At 35.3% G+C, this 17096-nt stretch overlaps 1 protein-coding gene across 1 annotated transcript; it reads right to left on the bottom strand.

Annotated features, from left to right (window-relative positions):
* Positions 1 to 5198: 5198 nt before the first annotated feature.
* On the bottom strand, positions 5199 to 14922 carry OR5K1 (olfactory receptor family 5 subfamily K member 1). Its single transcript, NM_001004736.4, has 2 exons — positions 14816 to 14922; positions 5199 to 8557 (listed from the first exon to the last, which is right to left on the bottom strand). The coding sequence occupies exon 2, from the start codon at positions 8544 to 8546 to the stop codon at positions 7620 to 7622; it is 927 nt and encodes a 308-aa protein (NP_001004736.2). The 5' UTR covers positions 8547 to 8557; positions 14816 to 14922; the 3' UTR covers positions 5199 to 7619.
* Positions 14923 to 17096: the final 2174 nt, after the last annotated feature.

The raw sequence follows: 17096 nt of genomic DNA, 5'->3' as shown, positions 1-17096 counted from the left end.
GAGGGATAGCATTAGGAGAACTACCTAATGTAGTTGACAGGTTGATGGGTGCAGCAAACCACCATGGCACATGTATATCTATGCACCACACCTGCACATTCTGCACATGCATTCCCGAAGTTAAAGTGTAATAATAATAATAATAAAAGGAATGGGAAAAAAAGATACTGTCTTTTTTAGACAAACAAATGCTGAGGGAATTTGCCACTTCCATGCCAGCACTACAAGAACTGCTAAAAGGAGTTCTAAATCTTGACATAAAACCTAAAATACATCAAAATAGAACCTCCTTAAAGCATAACTCTCTCAGGGGCTAGAAAACAATAACACAATGAAGGAAACCCCAAGGAATTCAGACAACAACTAGCACTTTGAATAGAATAGTACCTCACATCTCAATAATAACGTGGAATATAAATGGCATAAATGCTGCATTTAAAAGATACAGAATGGTAGAATGGATAAGAATTCACCAACCAAATATCTGCTGCCTTCAAGAGATTCACCTAACACATAAGGACTCACATAAACTTAAGGTAAAGGAGTGGAAAAATATATTCCATGCAAAAGGACATGAAAACCAAGCAGGAATAGGTATTCTTATATCAGACAAAATAGACTTTAAAGCCACAACAGTTAAAAAAGACAAGGAGGGACATTATATAATGATAAAAGGACTAGTCCAACAGGAAAATATCACAATCCAGATGTTTATGCACCTAATACTGGAGCTCCAAAATTTATAAAACAATTACTACTATACCTAAGAAATGAGATAGATGACAACATAATAATAGTGGGGGACTTCAATACTCTACTGGCAGCACTGGACAGGTCATCAAGGCAGAGAGTTGACAAAGAAAAAATGGACTTAAATATACCCTAGAACAAATGGACTTCACAGATATTTACAAGCATTCCACTCAACAACTGCAGGATATACATTCTATTCATTGGCACATGAAATATTCTCCAAGATAGACCATATGATAGGCCACAACACAAGTCTCAATAAATTTAAGAAAATTGAGATTGTATCAAGTACTCTCTCAGACCACAGTGGAATAAAATAGGAAATCAACTCCAAAAGGTACCCTTAAAACCATGCAAGTACATGGAAGGTAAATAACCTGCTACTGAATGATTATTGGGTTAACAAGGAAATGAAGATGGAAATTAAAAAATTATTTGAACTGAACAATAATAGTGACACAACCTATCAAAACTTCTGAGATTCAGCAAAAGCATCCTAAGAGGACTGATCATAGCATTAAATACCTACATCAAAAAGTCTGAAAGAGCACACATAGACAATTTAAGGTCACACGTCAAGGAACTAGAGAAACAAGAACAAACAAAGCCCAAACCCAGAAGAAGAAAGGAAATAACCAAGATGAGAGCAGAAATAAATGAAATTGAAACAATAACAAAAAATACAAAAGATAAATGAAACAAAAAGCTGGTTCTTTGAAAAGACAAATGAAATTGATTGACTGTTAGTGAGATTAACCAAGAAGAGAGATCGAAATAAGCTAATTAGAAATTAAATGGGAGATATTACAACCAATACCACAGAAATACAAAACATCATTCAAGGGTACTATGAACATCTTCACACGCACAAACTAGAAAACCTAGAGGTGATAGATAAATTCCTGGAAATATATAACCCTCTTAAATAAAACTAGGAGGACATAGAAACTCCAAAGAGACCAATGAGAATCAGTGTTATTAAAATGGTAATTAAAAAATTGCCAATAACAAAAAGTCCAGGACCAGATGAATTCACAGCTGAATTTCATCAGACATTCAAAGAAGAATTGCCTCCAATCTTATTGGAACTGTTCCAAAAGATAAAGAAAGAAGGAATCCTCCCTAAATCATTCTATGGAGCCACTGTCATCCTAATACCCAAACCAGGAAAGGACATAACAAAAAAAAAAGAAAAAGAAAATTACAGACCAATATCCGTGATGAACATAGATGCAAAAATCCTCAACAAAATACTAGCTAACCAAATCCAACAGCATATCAAAAAGATAATCCACCATAATCAAGTGGGTTTTATACCAGTGATACAGAAATTGTTTGACATATGCAAGTCAATTAATGATACATCACATAAACAAAATTAAAAACATAAATTCATGATCATCTCAATAGGTGCAGAAAAAGCATTTGACAAAATCCAGCATCCTTTTATTATTAAAACCCTCAGCAAAATCGGCATAGAAGAGACATGCCTTAAGGTAATAAAAGCCATCTATAACAAACCCAGAGCCAACATTATACTGAATGAGGAAAAGTTGAAAGCATTCCCCTGAGAGCTGGAACAAGACAAGGTTGCCCACTTTCACCACTTCTATTCAACATAGTACTAGAAGTTCTAGCCAGAGCAATAAGATAAGATAAATAAATAATGGACATCCAAATCAGTAAAGAGGAAGTCAAACTGCTGCTGTTCACTGATGATGTGATCATATGCCTACAAAACCCTAAAGACTCCTCCAAAAAGTACCTAGATCTGATAAATGAATTCAGTAATATTTCAGGATACAGAATTAAGGTACACAAATCAGTAGCACTGCTATACACTGACAGCGATGAAGATGAAACTCAAATCAAGAACTCAACCTCTTTTATAATAGCAGAAAGAAAAACAAAACAAAACAAACAAACAAACACTTAGGAATATACTTAACAAGGAGGCGAAAGACCTCTACAAAACTGCTAAACACTGCTGAAAGAAATCATAGATGACACAAATAAATGGAAACACATCCTGTCTTCATGGATGGATAGAATCAATATTGTGAAAATGACCATACTGCCAAAAGCAGTCTACAAATTCAATGCAATTCCTGTCAAAATACCACCATCATTCTTCACAAAATTAGAAAAAAAAATGCTAAAATTCATATGGAGCCAAGAAAGAGCTGGCATAACCAAAGCAAGACTAAGCAAAAGGAACAAACTTGGAGGCATCACATTACCTGACTTCAAGGCTATAGTCACCAAAACAGAATGGTACTGGTATGAAAATAAACACATAGACCAATGGAACAAAATGGAGAACCCAGAAATAATGCCAAATACTTACAGCCAACTGATCTTCGACAAAACAAAGAAAAACATAAAGTGTGGAAAGACACCCTATTCAACAAATGGTGTTGGGTTAATTGGCAAGCCACATGTAGAAGATTGAAACTGGATCCTCATCTCTTGCCTTATACGAAAATCAAGTCAAGATGCATCAAAGACTTAAATCTAAGATCTGAAACTCTAAAAATTCGATTCTAGAAGATAACATCAGAAAAATCCTTCTAGATATTGGTTTAGGCAAAGACTTCGTGACCAAGAACCCAAAGCAAATGCAACAAAAATACAGATAAATAGATGGGACTTAATTAAACTAAAAATCTTCTGCACAGCAAAAGAAATAATCAGTAGCCTAAACAGACAACCCACAGAGTGGGAGAAAATTTTAACAACTTTGCATCCAACAAAGGACTGATATCCAAAATCTACAAAGAACTCAAACGAATCAGCAAGAAAAAAACAAATAATACCATTAAAGTGGGCTAAGGAATAGATAATTCTCAAAAGAAGATATAAAAATGGCCAACAAACATATGAAAAAATGCTTGACATCACTAATTACCAGGCAAATGCAAATTAAAACCACACTGGGATACCACCTTACTCCTGCAAGACTGCTCATAATTTAAAAATAAAAAAAATTAGATGTTGGCATAGATGTGGTGAAAAGGGAACACTTATGCACTGCTGGTGGGATTGTAAACTAGTACAACCACTATGGAAAGCAGTATGGAGATTCCTTAAAAAACTAAAAGTAGATCTACCATTTGATCTAGCAATCCCCCTACTGTGTATCCACCCAGAGGAAAAGAAGTCATTACATAAAAAAGACACTTGCACACACATTTATAGCGGCACAATTCACAATTGCAAAAATATGGAAACAGCCCAAATGTCCATCAATCAATGAATAAAGAAAATGTATACTATTGAATACTACTGAGCCATAAAAAGGAAACAAATAATGGCACTCACAACAACCTAAATGGAGTTGAAGACCATTATTCTAAGTGAAGTAACTCAGGAATGGAAAACCAAGCATTGTATGTTCTCACTTATAAGTGGGAGCTAAGCTATGAGGACGCAAAGGCATACGTATGATACAATGGACTTAAGGGGCTCAGGTGGAAGGGTGGGAGGGGAGTGAAGGATAAAAGACTACAAATTGGGTACAGTGTACACTGCTCCAGTGATGGGTGCATCAAAATCTCAGAAATCACCACTAAAGAACTTATCAATGTAACAAAATACCTCCTGTTCCCCCAATACCTATTGAAATAAAAATAAAATAGAAATACCTACAAATTAACCCAAGTGTTAATATTTGTATACATAATGAGGTAAAATTATGATATTAACTGATGAGTCAACAAGGAGATTCACGTTATCATGTCATTCAATATGTCAGTTCCTGAAGTGACAATGCTGTCTAGGCAAGTAAGAATTGTCAGAACACAAATATTCCTAAGTGAACCAACCACTTCTAGAATTACTTTCCCCTTAACCATTTCTCCATGCTTCACTCTAGTGTCTATCTTCAGCCATTGTTCCAATATCTCACCCACTGATTTTCTGATACAGTAAACATGCTTGAACTTTAGTGTGAAATGATCTTGAGAAAGATGTGATCGATTTCATGAAGTGGATGAAAATTGTGTTGGATTGCCACTTGAATGAAATGTAAAGCCCTATTGACAAGTAGGTCCTTGCAGACATAAAACAATTAAAATGTGAAAAAAGAACAAATGAGAAAAATATAAACAAATTCAAAAGAGAAAAATCTGTACAATAAAGAAGTGATGCCCCTGTAGTGTCACCGTTTTTTTAAAAAATCAATTATTATTATTATTATTATTATTATTATTATTATTACTATTATTCCTTGAAGTAAAAAGTTAAATAAAGGTTGTTTTGAATTTTCATACTTTAATTTTCTGAAAAATAATACCAAGGAAAATCCTTTATATTTGATTCACTCTTTTTAAAATTTTTAAAAAATTATGTACACATTTGTGATTATAAGTAAACTTTGATTAAGGATGAGATAAAATATTTATAATTTTTAATTTTATTTTTCAAAATATTGTTTTAAACATGTCTGTTTTCCTCTGCATACCATAAAATGAGTCGAGATTTTAAAAATATTCATTTTATCAGATATTTTTCTCCCATAACCAGTAATTCTCAGATAAAGCCTGCCTGTAATTCTGTCTTACCCAATAACTATGCCTGCCGTTTCAGACAGTAACCAGGGCAGTTCACATTTTTTGATATAAGAAAAGGAGGCCAGAGCCATACAACAGTGTTATCCCTCACTTTTTTTTTATTTCTGAGCATACCTTTGATATTCCAGACAGAGAGAATAGACTAAGACAGAGTCTCATTTTTGAGTCCAATTTTACTCCATAAAAGTACATTTGGGAAACATTTGTAATGATGTGAAAACTAAGTATCATCCTAGAATTAAGGATTCAGTCAGTTGGGAAAAAAAGCAACATCAAGAAGGGAAGAGTTCGTGTTGCCTGGAAAAGGTTCTGTGGTTTCAATTCCCAGGGGGTGTCCTGGCATGGGAGTGGGGTGACAATTGCTCAGGGAGGTTTGGTGACCTATGTGCAAAAGGGACCTTCAAAAGGGACCCATGTAAGCTTTCAAAATCCTACATTGTACTGGTATTGTGTAGCATCGGAAGTGCAAAAATGATGCATTTCAACATTTCCTGGACCCACTGGGAAGAGGTCAAGAGAATTTACTCAGAAATTAGCAGATGAAGAGTAAGAGAGAGAGAGCCAGCCAACCCAAAGCCTTGTGGGTTGGATAAATAGACATTTTAGCTGAAAATCAATGCAGCCTGAGGAGTAGACATGGACGTAGATACCTGAAGTGATGGTGGCATGAAGAAATAACCAACGGGTCAAATAGGCTCAAACATCTCACAGAATCATAGCTTGGACAGAGCTCATATATAATCTGGCACCTGTGCTCAGTGCCATGATACCAGGCAAGGACCTATATGTGATGAAGGAAGGATGTAGGTAGTGTTGGGTAAATCCTAAATTGATGGAATTTAATTTGAAACAAACAAGATCTTCACATGTCCAAGTATAATTGGAATGAACTAGGTTAGATTTTCTTGGAGGTTACAAAGAAAAACTAGGTGGTTATATTTTTGCATTGATGAGTTAGGGAATTGGAAATTCATCTGCTCTCCTATTACTTTTTCTGTACAGACTCAGCATATTGATTTTTCCTGTGATGCCAGCCTCTGGTGGCTGGCTAACCTGGAGCACTTGACAATTGCTTTCTGGGAATTTAGACAGGTCCTCAGAGCAAGAGGTGGAAGGGAGATGTTTTTCTATTATGTGACATAGGTCCTTCTTAATCCAGAAGTTAGTAATAAAAATTGTGGCAATATTCTATTCTTCGAGAAGATGGAAAAACTGGCATTTTTTGTAACTGATATGGCCCAACACCCAGAACAATGCCTACCTATAGCAGGATTTCAATAAATATATGTTGAGTGAATAATTGGAAAGTAATTTTTAAAATGATATCACATTAAGATCATTACTCTACCCACAATACCAACTTCAGGTTTTGCAATAGTGAAAAGAAAAAAAAATTAGATAAACTCTACCTACAGTTTAACAACACTATGTTTTACATTTCTATATATAATATACCCAGGGTAGTGGTCTCTATTGTTGAAACCTTTCCTCACCTCTCAAGTAGGAGCACAGAGACATTGCACCTAACTCACTAACAAAGAAGCTCTTCAAATCCTACATGAGGTTTGAACTGCTTTTCTGGAAGTTTGTGTTATGGTATATTTATGCAGGTAGATATGGGAGTAGATAAAACTCTCTTAATGTAGCTTGACTTGAAAATTGACATTCTGTGTTTAATATTTAACTCAGTAATAATTTAAATTTGGAAATCTGATATTCACTATTATTTGACACCTTCGTTTTCCTAATACTTCCTTTCTAACTACAGTAATGTCCCCATAATGCTATTAAAATTGATTTCTCAAAATTCGCTTGTCACAATTTTGTTGCTCATGGATGTAAGTGATTTTACTGGTTGACCATCATATGATCTTAAACTCTTTCAGTTTAACCATAATGCTCATGCTCTAAGCTATTAAAATAACTTATCTGGTTATCAATGCTTAATGGAATGGTCCTTTGAACTTGTAACTTCCAGTTTTGCTGTGTTCTTTTGGATGCTTATCATCCCTGATGCCAACACAGACCAAGAGCTTGACAACATACTACATTGTTACTTGAATGAGTTCAAAATTAGAATTTCATTTTTGTTATTTTGAATTAAGATTTACCACAGTTTACTCTTTTTTGTATATTCTACCCTTACCTCTTGCCACTTAATTTGAATGTATTCTTATATATTAAAATTTTACTTATAATTTATGCATTTCCCCTGTGTAATTTCACATGGAAGTTTTTGCTGCATTTAAATCATTAAGCTATAGTAGATGTCACTTGTTTCCATCTTTCTTGAGATTATTTCTTCATCAGAATTTTTCTTAAGACACTTATTACTTCCCTATTTCTCAGGCTATAAATGAAAGGATTTAGTAAGGGAACTACTATTGTAAATAAAATTGCAGCTGGTATATCTTTATCCCCTTCTTCAAGCAAATTTGGTCTAACGTACATGAAGAAAAGAGATCCATAGAATAATGAAACTGACAAAAAGTGGGATGCACAGGTAGAAAAAGCTTTGGCCCTTCCCTCTTTGGATTTCATTTTGAAAATAGTAAGAAGAATATAGAGATAAGATATTAAGACACTACCTATGGTAAAGACTTGAACTGAACCTGAGAAGATGAATAGAACCAGTTCATTGATATAAGGATCAACACAAGAGAGTCTATACAAGGGAAGAATATCACAGTAAAAGTGGTTGATGTGATTCGATCCACAGAAAACTAACCTAAATACAAGCCCTACATGAATCATGGAATGCAGGTTTCCAGCTATGAAGGCCCCTGTGGTCATCTGAATGCAGAGTTTCTTGGACATCATGATGTGGTACTGCAGTGGGTTGCATATGGCCACATAGCGGTCATAGGCCATTGCTGCCAGAAGAAAGCAGTCTGCAGTTTCCACAGTGCAAAGAAAATAAAACTGTACTGCACATTCATAGAGGGAAATCCTTTTGTTCTCAGAAAAGAAGTTCTCTAACATTTTGGGGGTAATAGCACAGGCACAGCAAGAATCCACAAGAGCCAGATTTCCCAGAAAGATGTACATTGGTGTGTGAAGCCGACGGTGTGTAAATATCAGTGCCACCAAACTAATATTCCCCACCACGGTGATCAGATAGATGGCAAAGAACACCACAAACAGCAGAGTCTTCAGCTCAGGGTGATCTGTAAATCCTGTGAGGATAAACTCATTTTTCATGGTATGATTTTCTTCAGCCATTCCTGACTTGTCTGAAAAAAAATTGTGGAGAAAGAAGGCACTAATTTATAATATGCCACAGTTATTTAGGTCTCTTTGGCTTAAAGGAAGGAGAGCATCTTCCACAATGTTTCCTCATGTTGCCTGGACTTTGGTGCATGCCCCATTCATGGGGAGAATGAATTTCCATAAAGGAATTACCTCTTTGGCTAGTGATGAAACATATTTTCAGTACCTTTTAAAATCATTTTTAAACCATTTTAATAGTACCTAATAGTAGTTTTTCAGTCTCTCTGTCCTTCCACCCTCCACTGTCAAGTAGGCCCCACTGTCTGTCGTTCCATTCTTTCTGTACATGTGTACTCAGTGTTTAGCTCTCACTCATAAGTGAGAACATGCAATACCTGGTTTTCTGTTCCTTCATTAGTTTGCTTAGGATAATGGCCTCCAGCTCTGTCCATGTTGCTACAAAGGACATGATCTCATTCTTTCTTATGGCTGCATAGTATTCCATGCTGTGTATGTACCACATTTTCTTTATCCAGTCAATTGTTGATGGGCATTTAGGTTGATTCCATGTCTCTGCTATTGTGAATATTTCCAGCACATTTTGAGGAAGAAATACATCAGATTATCTTCACAAAGATGGGTTTTGAGGTCTTGACAGAAAGATCCAGAGAACAACACTTCTCTATATGGGTTAAGTAAAGCTGATTCATAATTTAAATGTCAGCAATTAGTATCAACATTCCCCAAAATTTCAATGAATATATATGTACTGATTAACAATGTTGTTTAAAAGAGTATTTTTATATGCCAATGTTAATAGCAGCATTATTCATAATAGTCAAAAGGTGGAAGCAAACCAAATGTCCAAGGATGATGAATAAATAAATGGTGGTATATACATATAATGGAACATTATTCAACCCTAAAAAGGGAAGAAATTCTGACATGTTACAACATGGATCAACCTTGGAGACATAATGCTAATTGAAGTAAGCCAGTCAAAAAAGGACAAAGATTCTGTTATTCCATTTACAGGTACCTAGAGTAGTCAAATTTATAAAGACAGAATATAGAGTGGTGGTTGTTAGTGGGAGGTGGGCACAGGGAGCTATTTCTTAATGGTTACAGAGTTTCAGTTTGGGAAGATAAAGTTCTGGATGAGTAGTGGTGATGGCTGTATTAATACAACATTGCAAATGTATTTAATTCTATTGAACTACACTCTTAAATATGGCTAAGATGATAAATTTTATGTATTTTCTATCACAATAAAAAATTTAAATGCCTATTTTCAGTTGTATATTCTTAGTAATTAACTATCTCCAATACTGCTGGAGTGTACACTTAAACATAACATGCTTTGGAAGCAGGCTATTTTTAAGGTATTTTTACCCCTCTGGGGTGGGGAGGAAAAGGAATGTGGACGGAAGTGGGGAGGAGACAGAGAGATTAGGGGAAATGAGAAAAAATGCCTATACTAGAAACCATCCAGGTTATTTATAATACAATTTATGCATACAATTAAGAATTATTCATGTGTGCATGAAATTTAAATGCTATCAAAAATTCAAGAAAAAGGTTAAAAACTGGAAGCATTCCCTTTGAAAACTGGCACAAGATAGGGATGCCCTCTCTCACCGCTCCTATTCAACATAGTGTTGGAAGTTCTGGCCAGGGCAATCAGGCAGGAGAAGGAAATAAAGGGTATTCAATTAGGAAAAGAGGAAGTCAAATTGTCCCTGTTTGCAGACGACATGATTGTTTATCTAGAAAACCCCATCGTCTCAGCCCAAAATCTCCTTAAGCTGATAAGCAACTTCAGCAAAGTCTCAGGATACAAAATCAATGTAAAAAAATCACAAGCATTCTTATACACCAACAACAGACAAACAGAGAGCCAAATCATGAGTGAACTCCCATTCACAATTGCTTCAAAGAGAATAAAATACCTAGGAATCCAACTTACAAGGGATGTGAAGGACCTCTTCAAGGAGAACTACAAACCACTGCTCAAGGAAATAAAAGAGGACACAAACAAATGGAAGAACATTCCATGCCCATGGGTAGGAAGAATCAATATCGTGAAAATGGCCATACTGCCCAAGGTAATTTACAGATTCAATGCCATCCCCATCAAGCTACCAATGACTTTCTTCACAGAATTGGAAAAAACTACTTTAAAGTTCATATGGAACCAAAAAAGAGCCCGCATCGCCAAGTCAATCCTAAGCCAAAAGAACAAAGCTGGAGGCATCACACTACCTGACTTCAAACTATACTACAAGGCTACAGTAACCAAAACAGCATGGTACTGGTACCAAAACAGAGATATAGATCAATGGAACAGAACAGAGCCCTCAGAAATAATGCTGCATATCTACAACTATCTGATCTTTGACAAACCTGAGAAAAACAAGCAATGGGGAAAGGATTCCCTATTTAATAAATGGTGCTGGGAAAACTGGATAGCCATAGGTAGAAAGCTGAAACTGGATCCCTTCCTTACAGCTTATACAAAAATCAATTCAAGATGGATTAAAGATTTAAACGTTAGACCTAAAACCATAAAAACCCTAGAAGAAAACCTAGGCATTACCTTTCAGGACATAGGCGTGGGCAAGGACTTCATGTCCAAAACACCAAAAGCAATGGCAACAAAAGCCAAAATTGACAAATGGGATCTAATTAAACTAAAGAGCTTCTGCACAGCAAAAGAAACTACCATCAGAGTGAACAGGCAACCTACAAAATGGGAGAAAATTTTCGCAACCTACACATCTGACAAACGGCTAATATCCAGAATCTACAATGAACTCAAACAAATTTACAAGAAAAAAACAAACAACCCCATCAAAAAGTGGGCGAAGGACATGAACAGACACTTCTCAAAAGAAGACATTTATGCAGCCAAAAAACACATGAAAAAATGCTCATCATCACTGGCCATCACAGAAATGCAAATCAAAACCACTATGAGATATCATCTCACACCAGTTAGAATGGCAATCATTAAAAAGTCAGGAAACAACAGGTGCTGGAGAGGATGTGGAGAAATAGGAACACTTTTACACTGTTGGTGGGACTGTAAACTAGTTCAACCATTGTGGAAGTCAGTGTGGCGATTCCTCAGGGATCTAGAACTAGAAATACCATTTGACCCAGCCATCCCATTACTGGGTATATACCCAAATGACTATAAATCATGCTGCTATAAAGACACATGCACACGTATGTTTACTGCGGCATTATTCACAGTAGCAAAGACTTGGAACCAACCCAAATGTCCAACAATGATAGACTGGATTAAGAAAATGTGGCACATATACACCATGGAATACTATGCAGCCATAAAAAATGATGAGTTCATGTCCTTTGTAGGGACATGGATGAAATTGGAAACCATCATTCTCAGTAAACTATCGCAAGAACAAAAAACCAAACACTGCATATTCTCACTCATAGGTGGGAATTGAACAATGAGATCACATGGACACAGGAAGGGGAATATCACACTCTGGGGACTGTGGTGGGGTCGGGGGACCGGGGAGGGATAGCATTGGGAGATATACCTAATGCTAGATGACACGTTAGTGGGTGCAGCGCACCAGCATGGCACATGTATACATATGTAACTAACCTGCACAATGTGCACATGTACCCTAAAACTTAAAGTATAATAAAAAAAAATTAAAAAAAAAAGACAAATTTATTTATATAAGTCAAAAATCATGAATAAAAATTAAGCATCAAACAAAAACTGGGAGACTGGAATAAATAGGATATTGTTTCTCTAGTTGTGTTTTAGGAAGGAAGCAGTACAAATAATCACTAGAAAATAGGTCAATGGCAGAACAGAAAAATATGAAGGAAATATAATTTTTTACAAATTAAAAATTTATAACCTCATTACTAATCAGAGAAACATAATTTAAAATAGCTATGAGGCTATATTTATTTTGCCTATTAAAATGGCAAGATGTTTTTAAAAAGAAATGATAATATATAGTGTTATCTAAAATTTGTGCAATTACTGGAAAATAATTTGTAATAAATTAAAGAAACTCTTAAACATTCACATCCTTTGGCCAATAATAATGAATTGACCAGAAAGAAATAATTAGACTCTTCTACAAAGATTGACATAAAATGATGTCCATTGTAATTTCATTCATAATCATAAAAATTCAAAACATCTAAAAGTGGTGGTATAACCATTTAGTAAGTTATGATGAAATAAATGTGAATCATTCACACGATGGCATATCGTACAATCATTAAAAATGCTGTTTACCTTGAAGATTATTGTAATGATAAAATAGATAGAAATACGTTATGTAAAAAACAAAATAGAAAGTTTTATAAACAAAATAATTGCAATTTCCAAATAAATGCTTACATATGAAGGTTAAAAAAAGTAGCATGACAATACATCAAAATATTACTAGTTTTTTCTATGCAATAAAAATTAGAGGTCAATTATTTTTCGGCTTTATATTTTCCTCCATTTCTTTCAAATTGTCTGCAATGGCTATTGCTTCAATAATCAGGATAGAAATTTTTTATTAAGTAAATAAAATGGCATGCTCTTAGGTCTGCAGTGTTTTATAACTTGATTAAGTGCACAATAATCATGGGAATTTAACTAATGTTTTCTGCACTTCACAATTCTACTGTGAATAATGTTACAATGGATTCATTGAGCAAATGCCTACTCCACTTTTATGATAATGGCATCACCAGTTATAAATAATAGGAATTTGCTGGCAATCCTGCATCTCAAACTATTCAGGCATATGTCCACATCATGTGGTAATGCAATCTTAAGGTCACCTCCTCTATGGAAGCAATATCTCTTTGGTGTCAACTTTTACTCTTTCAAATGTCATGTGTTTTCACTGTATTCCTAGATTCTAGGGTGTTCACATTTATTAAAATTTTGGGATATTTTAAAAACTTTCATTATCTACTCATTATATGTACTTATAGACAAAGAGTTCTTACCTATCGGGGAGCATTTTGTTTCAATCTACCTTATTTATCTTTGTTACTTTGGGAATCATGTATTAATTGAACTGATAGTCATTGGATGCCTGCTTTATGCTACCTACTTGCTTTGAAAGGTTGACTGACCCTCCTAGATATTTCTAGATAGACAGTTTTCTGGATATTCATTGACCACAACTATACTCCGAAGTTTGGGAACAGAGGAAAACCATTTTGGAAAGATATAAGAAGATCTCTCCTTTTTGGTTTCTGAAGGTATTACTAACTTTCAAATCTCAGATTACTTGAAGTTGGTGTGTATATATATATTTTTTTAAAGTTTATTTTTTGAAACAGGGTCTTACTGTGTCGCCCAGGCTGGAGTGCAGAGGTACAGTCTTGGCTCACTGCAACCTCCACCTCCCAGGTTCAAGGGATTCTCCTGCCTCTGCCTACCAAGTATGAAATTACAGGCATGCGCCACCTGCTTGGCTATTTATTTTTTGTATTTTTAGCAGAGGTGGGGTTTCACCATGTTGGCTAGGCTGGTCTCAAACTCCTGACCTCAAGTGATCCTCCTGCCTCAGCCTCCCAAAGTGCTGAGATTACAGGCATGAGCCACTGCACCTGGCTGATGTACCTTTAAGATCAATATTTTTAAAATAACGTTTGAAACTTATGTAATTTGAATAACTTTTTCATTAACTGCCTTGCCCTTGCCAGCTTGAAGTTATATAATATAAAATTTCCTTCAGTTCACCCAGTTGTCCATTGGTCAGATAGAAATAAATTTTACATTGATATTTTATTTCTCTAAGAATAAAAAAGAAACTAGAACATTCCTCAAAATTATATTGGGATTTGAAAGACTGGTTTGAAATTATAGTCCTTACTTATATAATTTGTTTAATACATAGGAATGCCCAACACAAAAATTTTAAACTCTATTTCATTGTAGAGGTTAATAATTCATTTCATCAAGTTTATAAGTAATAGGACAAACTACATTATTCAAATAAGTTTCAAAGTCTTCATTAATGTATTCTGTTATTACTATAAAAGTGTGCTTTTATCTCTTGATATAAATTTAGACTTCTGTTGAATTCAGAAGTGATACAAATGAATGATAGTCATTTGTCTAAAGCTTACACAATAGACTTTAGATTTAAAAATAATTTAACCAGCTTAAAACATTGAAAAATTAGAGTTTTAAGAAAAAAACCTTAAATAACTTAGAGAAATAAACGTTTCATGTCATTAATATTTCTAGCAAAAATAAGTTTTAAATTCTTTCTCACCTGAATTTTCCCTGGTAAGAGTTTTAAAGGGGCCAGTAGGTTGCCTGATAACAGTTTTTAAAGTAGATCTCACAATTAAGCTCTATCTTCTTGATCATTTAGGAGAATAGTTTTACAAAGAGGTTGATGCCAATATTTATGTCACTGGTAGAGAATGGTTCAGATGTTCGAAATAATTCTAAAGGGATTTAGTTGGCATTGACTTCAGAGCACAGCCTGAGAGACCTAATCCTTTGAACATCAGAGACCTACTAAATTGTAAGAGCACAGTCTGAGAGATGCAATCCTCTGAACATCACAGACCTTACTCCTTTGAGACCTAAAGAGTAAGGCAAATTCCAATTTCTAAACAAATTTTAAGAGCCATGTTTTGGGCACACATTTACCTATGTAACAAACCTGCACATCCTACACATGTTTCCTGGAGCTTAAAATAAGATTTAAAGAAAACAGAAATGTTTTAATTTTTATTCATTTGAGTTTATACTATTTATCCTTACCACCAATCTGAACATAAGATCCTTAGTGGGAAGAAAAAATTCCCACTGCAGTGGTCAGCCAAGGCTTCATGGAGAAAGTGGGAACTGAGCTAGGATTGAGGGCCTCGGAGAGGCGATTGCTTGCTGTGATAAGAAGATGAAAGCGGCACGTTTCCCACCTCTTTTTAATGGCAATATTTAATTTGTAGAATCTTCCTTTGACATTTTATTCATAATGTTGCTAACTTTATACCTTAGTTACTAAAATAAACTTTAGAAAATTTCTTCCAAATCCAGAAGCAGCTGCATGAAAGCCTTCTTTCTTCATAATACCATCCCTCTTTCAGGACTCTCCTATCATTTTGATGTGTTTTTTTGTTTGTATGTTTGTTTCTTTCTTTTTTTTTTTTGATGGAGTTTCACTCTTGTTGCCCAGGCTAGAGTGCAATGGCAGATCTTGGCTCACTCCAACGTCTGCCTCCCAGGTTCAAGCGACTCTCCTGCCTCAGCTTCCCGAGTAGCTGGGATTACAGGCATGCACCACCATGCCTGGCTAATTTTGTATTTTTAGTAGAGACGGGGGTTTCTCCATGTTGATCAGGCTGGTCTTGAACTCCTGACTTCAAGTGATCTGCCCTCCTTGGCCTCCCAAAGTGCTGGGATTACAGGCATGAGCCACCACGCCCAGCCCACTTATGGTGCTATGACACCTACTGATTAACTGATTGCCCACCAATTTCAAGTGTCCATTTGTTTAGGAGAGCTCATCAGGATTTACTGGGGGAAAGCCTCCACCAAAGGAACAATGGAAGAATGACGAATATTGCTCCTACCCAGGAAACTATGTAGGGTCAGTGGAAAGATTCATAGGAGTCAGTGAAAAGAATCATGTAACTCATTTCTTGTTACTCTGATTTTCCTACAAATTTATGAAAATTTTTATGCTTTCTTTGAAATTATGTAAAGTCCTCATATTCAGAACTACAAATCAGCTTCCACTTATTGTATCATTTATTCACGAATTCATGTAGTAAATACTATACGGTGCCTACTTGTTACTGTCATAATTATAGATTCTGTTCTCATGGAACTTACATTCTAATCGAGGGGAGCAGGCAAGCATATATAAATAAATACATGAAGAAGAAAAAAGCAGAAATTACTAAGTGCTATGCTGGAGGTAAGATAGGGTGGATGTGATAAAGAATGCCTAGGAGTTACTTTAGATACAATGATTAGAAAACATGTATAGGAAAAGGTGAGCAGTCAAGCTGAGACATGAGTAGGAAGAAGTCAGCCATGGCAGATGGACACGGTAGGTTATGGAGGAGAGGCAGTGAAAATTCCTCAAGGCAGAAATCACCTATGCATATTTGAGGAACCCATAAAAGACAGACCACAGCTGTTGGTGATGGGATTGGAGACTTGATCTCTTTGGGTTTGTAACATAGATTATGAAATTTGTATTTTATTTTTAGAACAAATGAGAAGACTTGGGAGAGGGAGAGTATATTGGGAGAATATATTAGTTTCTTATTGCTGCCCTAACAAATTATCACAAACTCAGTAGTTTAAAACAACAAAAATTTATTACTTCACAGTTCTGGGGATTAGAAGTCTGAAATATGTCTCACTGAACTAAAACCAAGATGTTAGCAGGGCTGAGTTCTGTTTTGGAAGCTCTGGTGAGAAATTTACATTCTTATCTTTTCCTAGATTCTAGAGTCACTCTTATTCCTTAGCTCATGGGCCCCCTTCCATCTTCAAACCCTGAAATGATTGGTTAAATTTTTTTCACATTT

This window comes from Homo sapiens, chromosome 3 (genome assembly GCF_000001405.40).
Source record: "Homo sapiens chromosome 3, GRCh38.p14 Primary Assembly".
NCBI lineage: Eukaryota > Metazoa > Chordata > Mammalia > Primates > Hominidae > Homo > Homo sapiens.
Note: the sequence above shows the minus strand (reverse complement) of the source record. Positions and strands in the feature narration are given on the sequence as shown.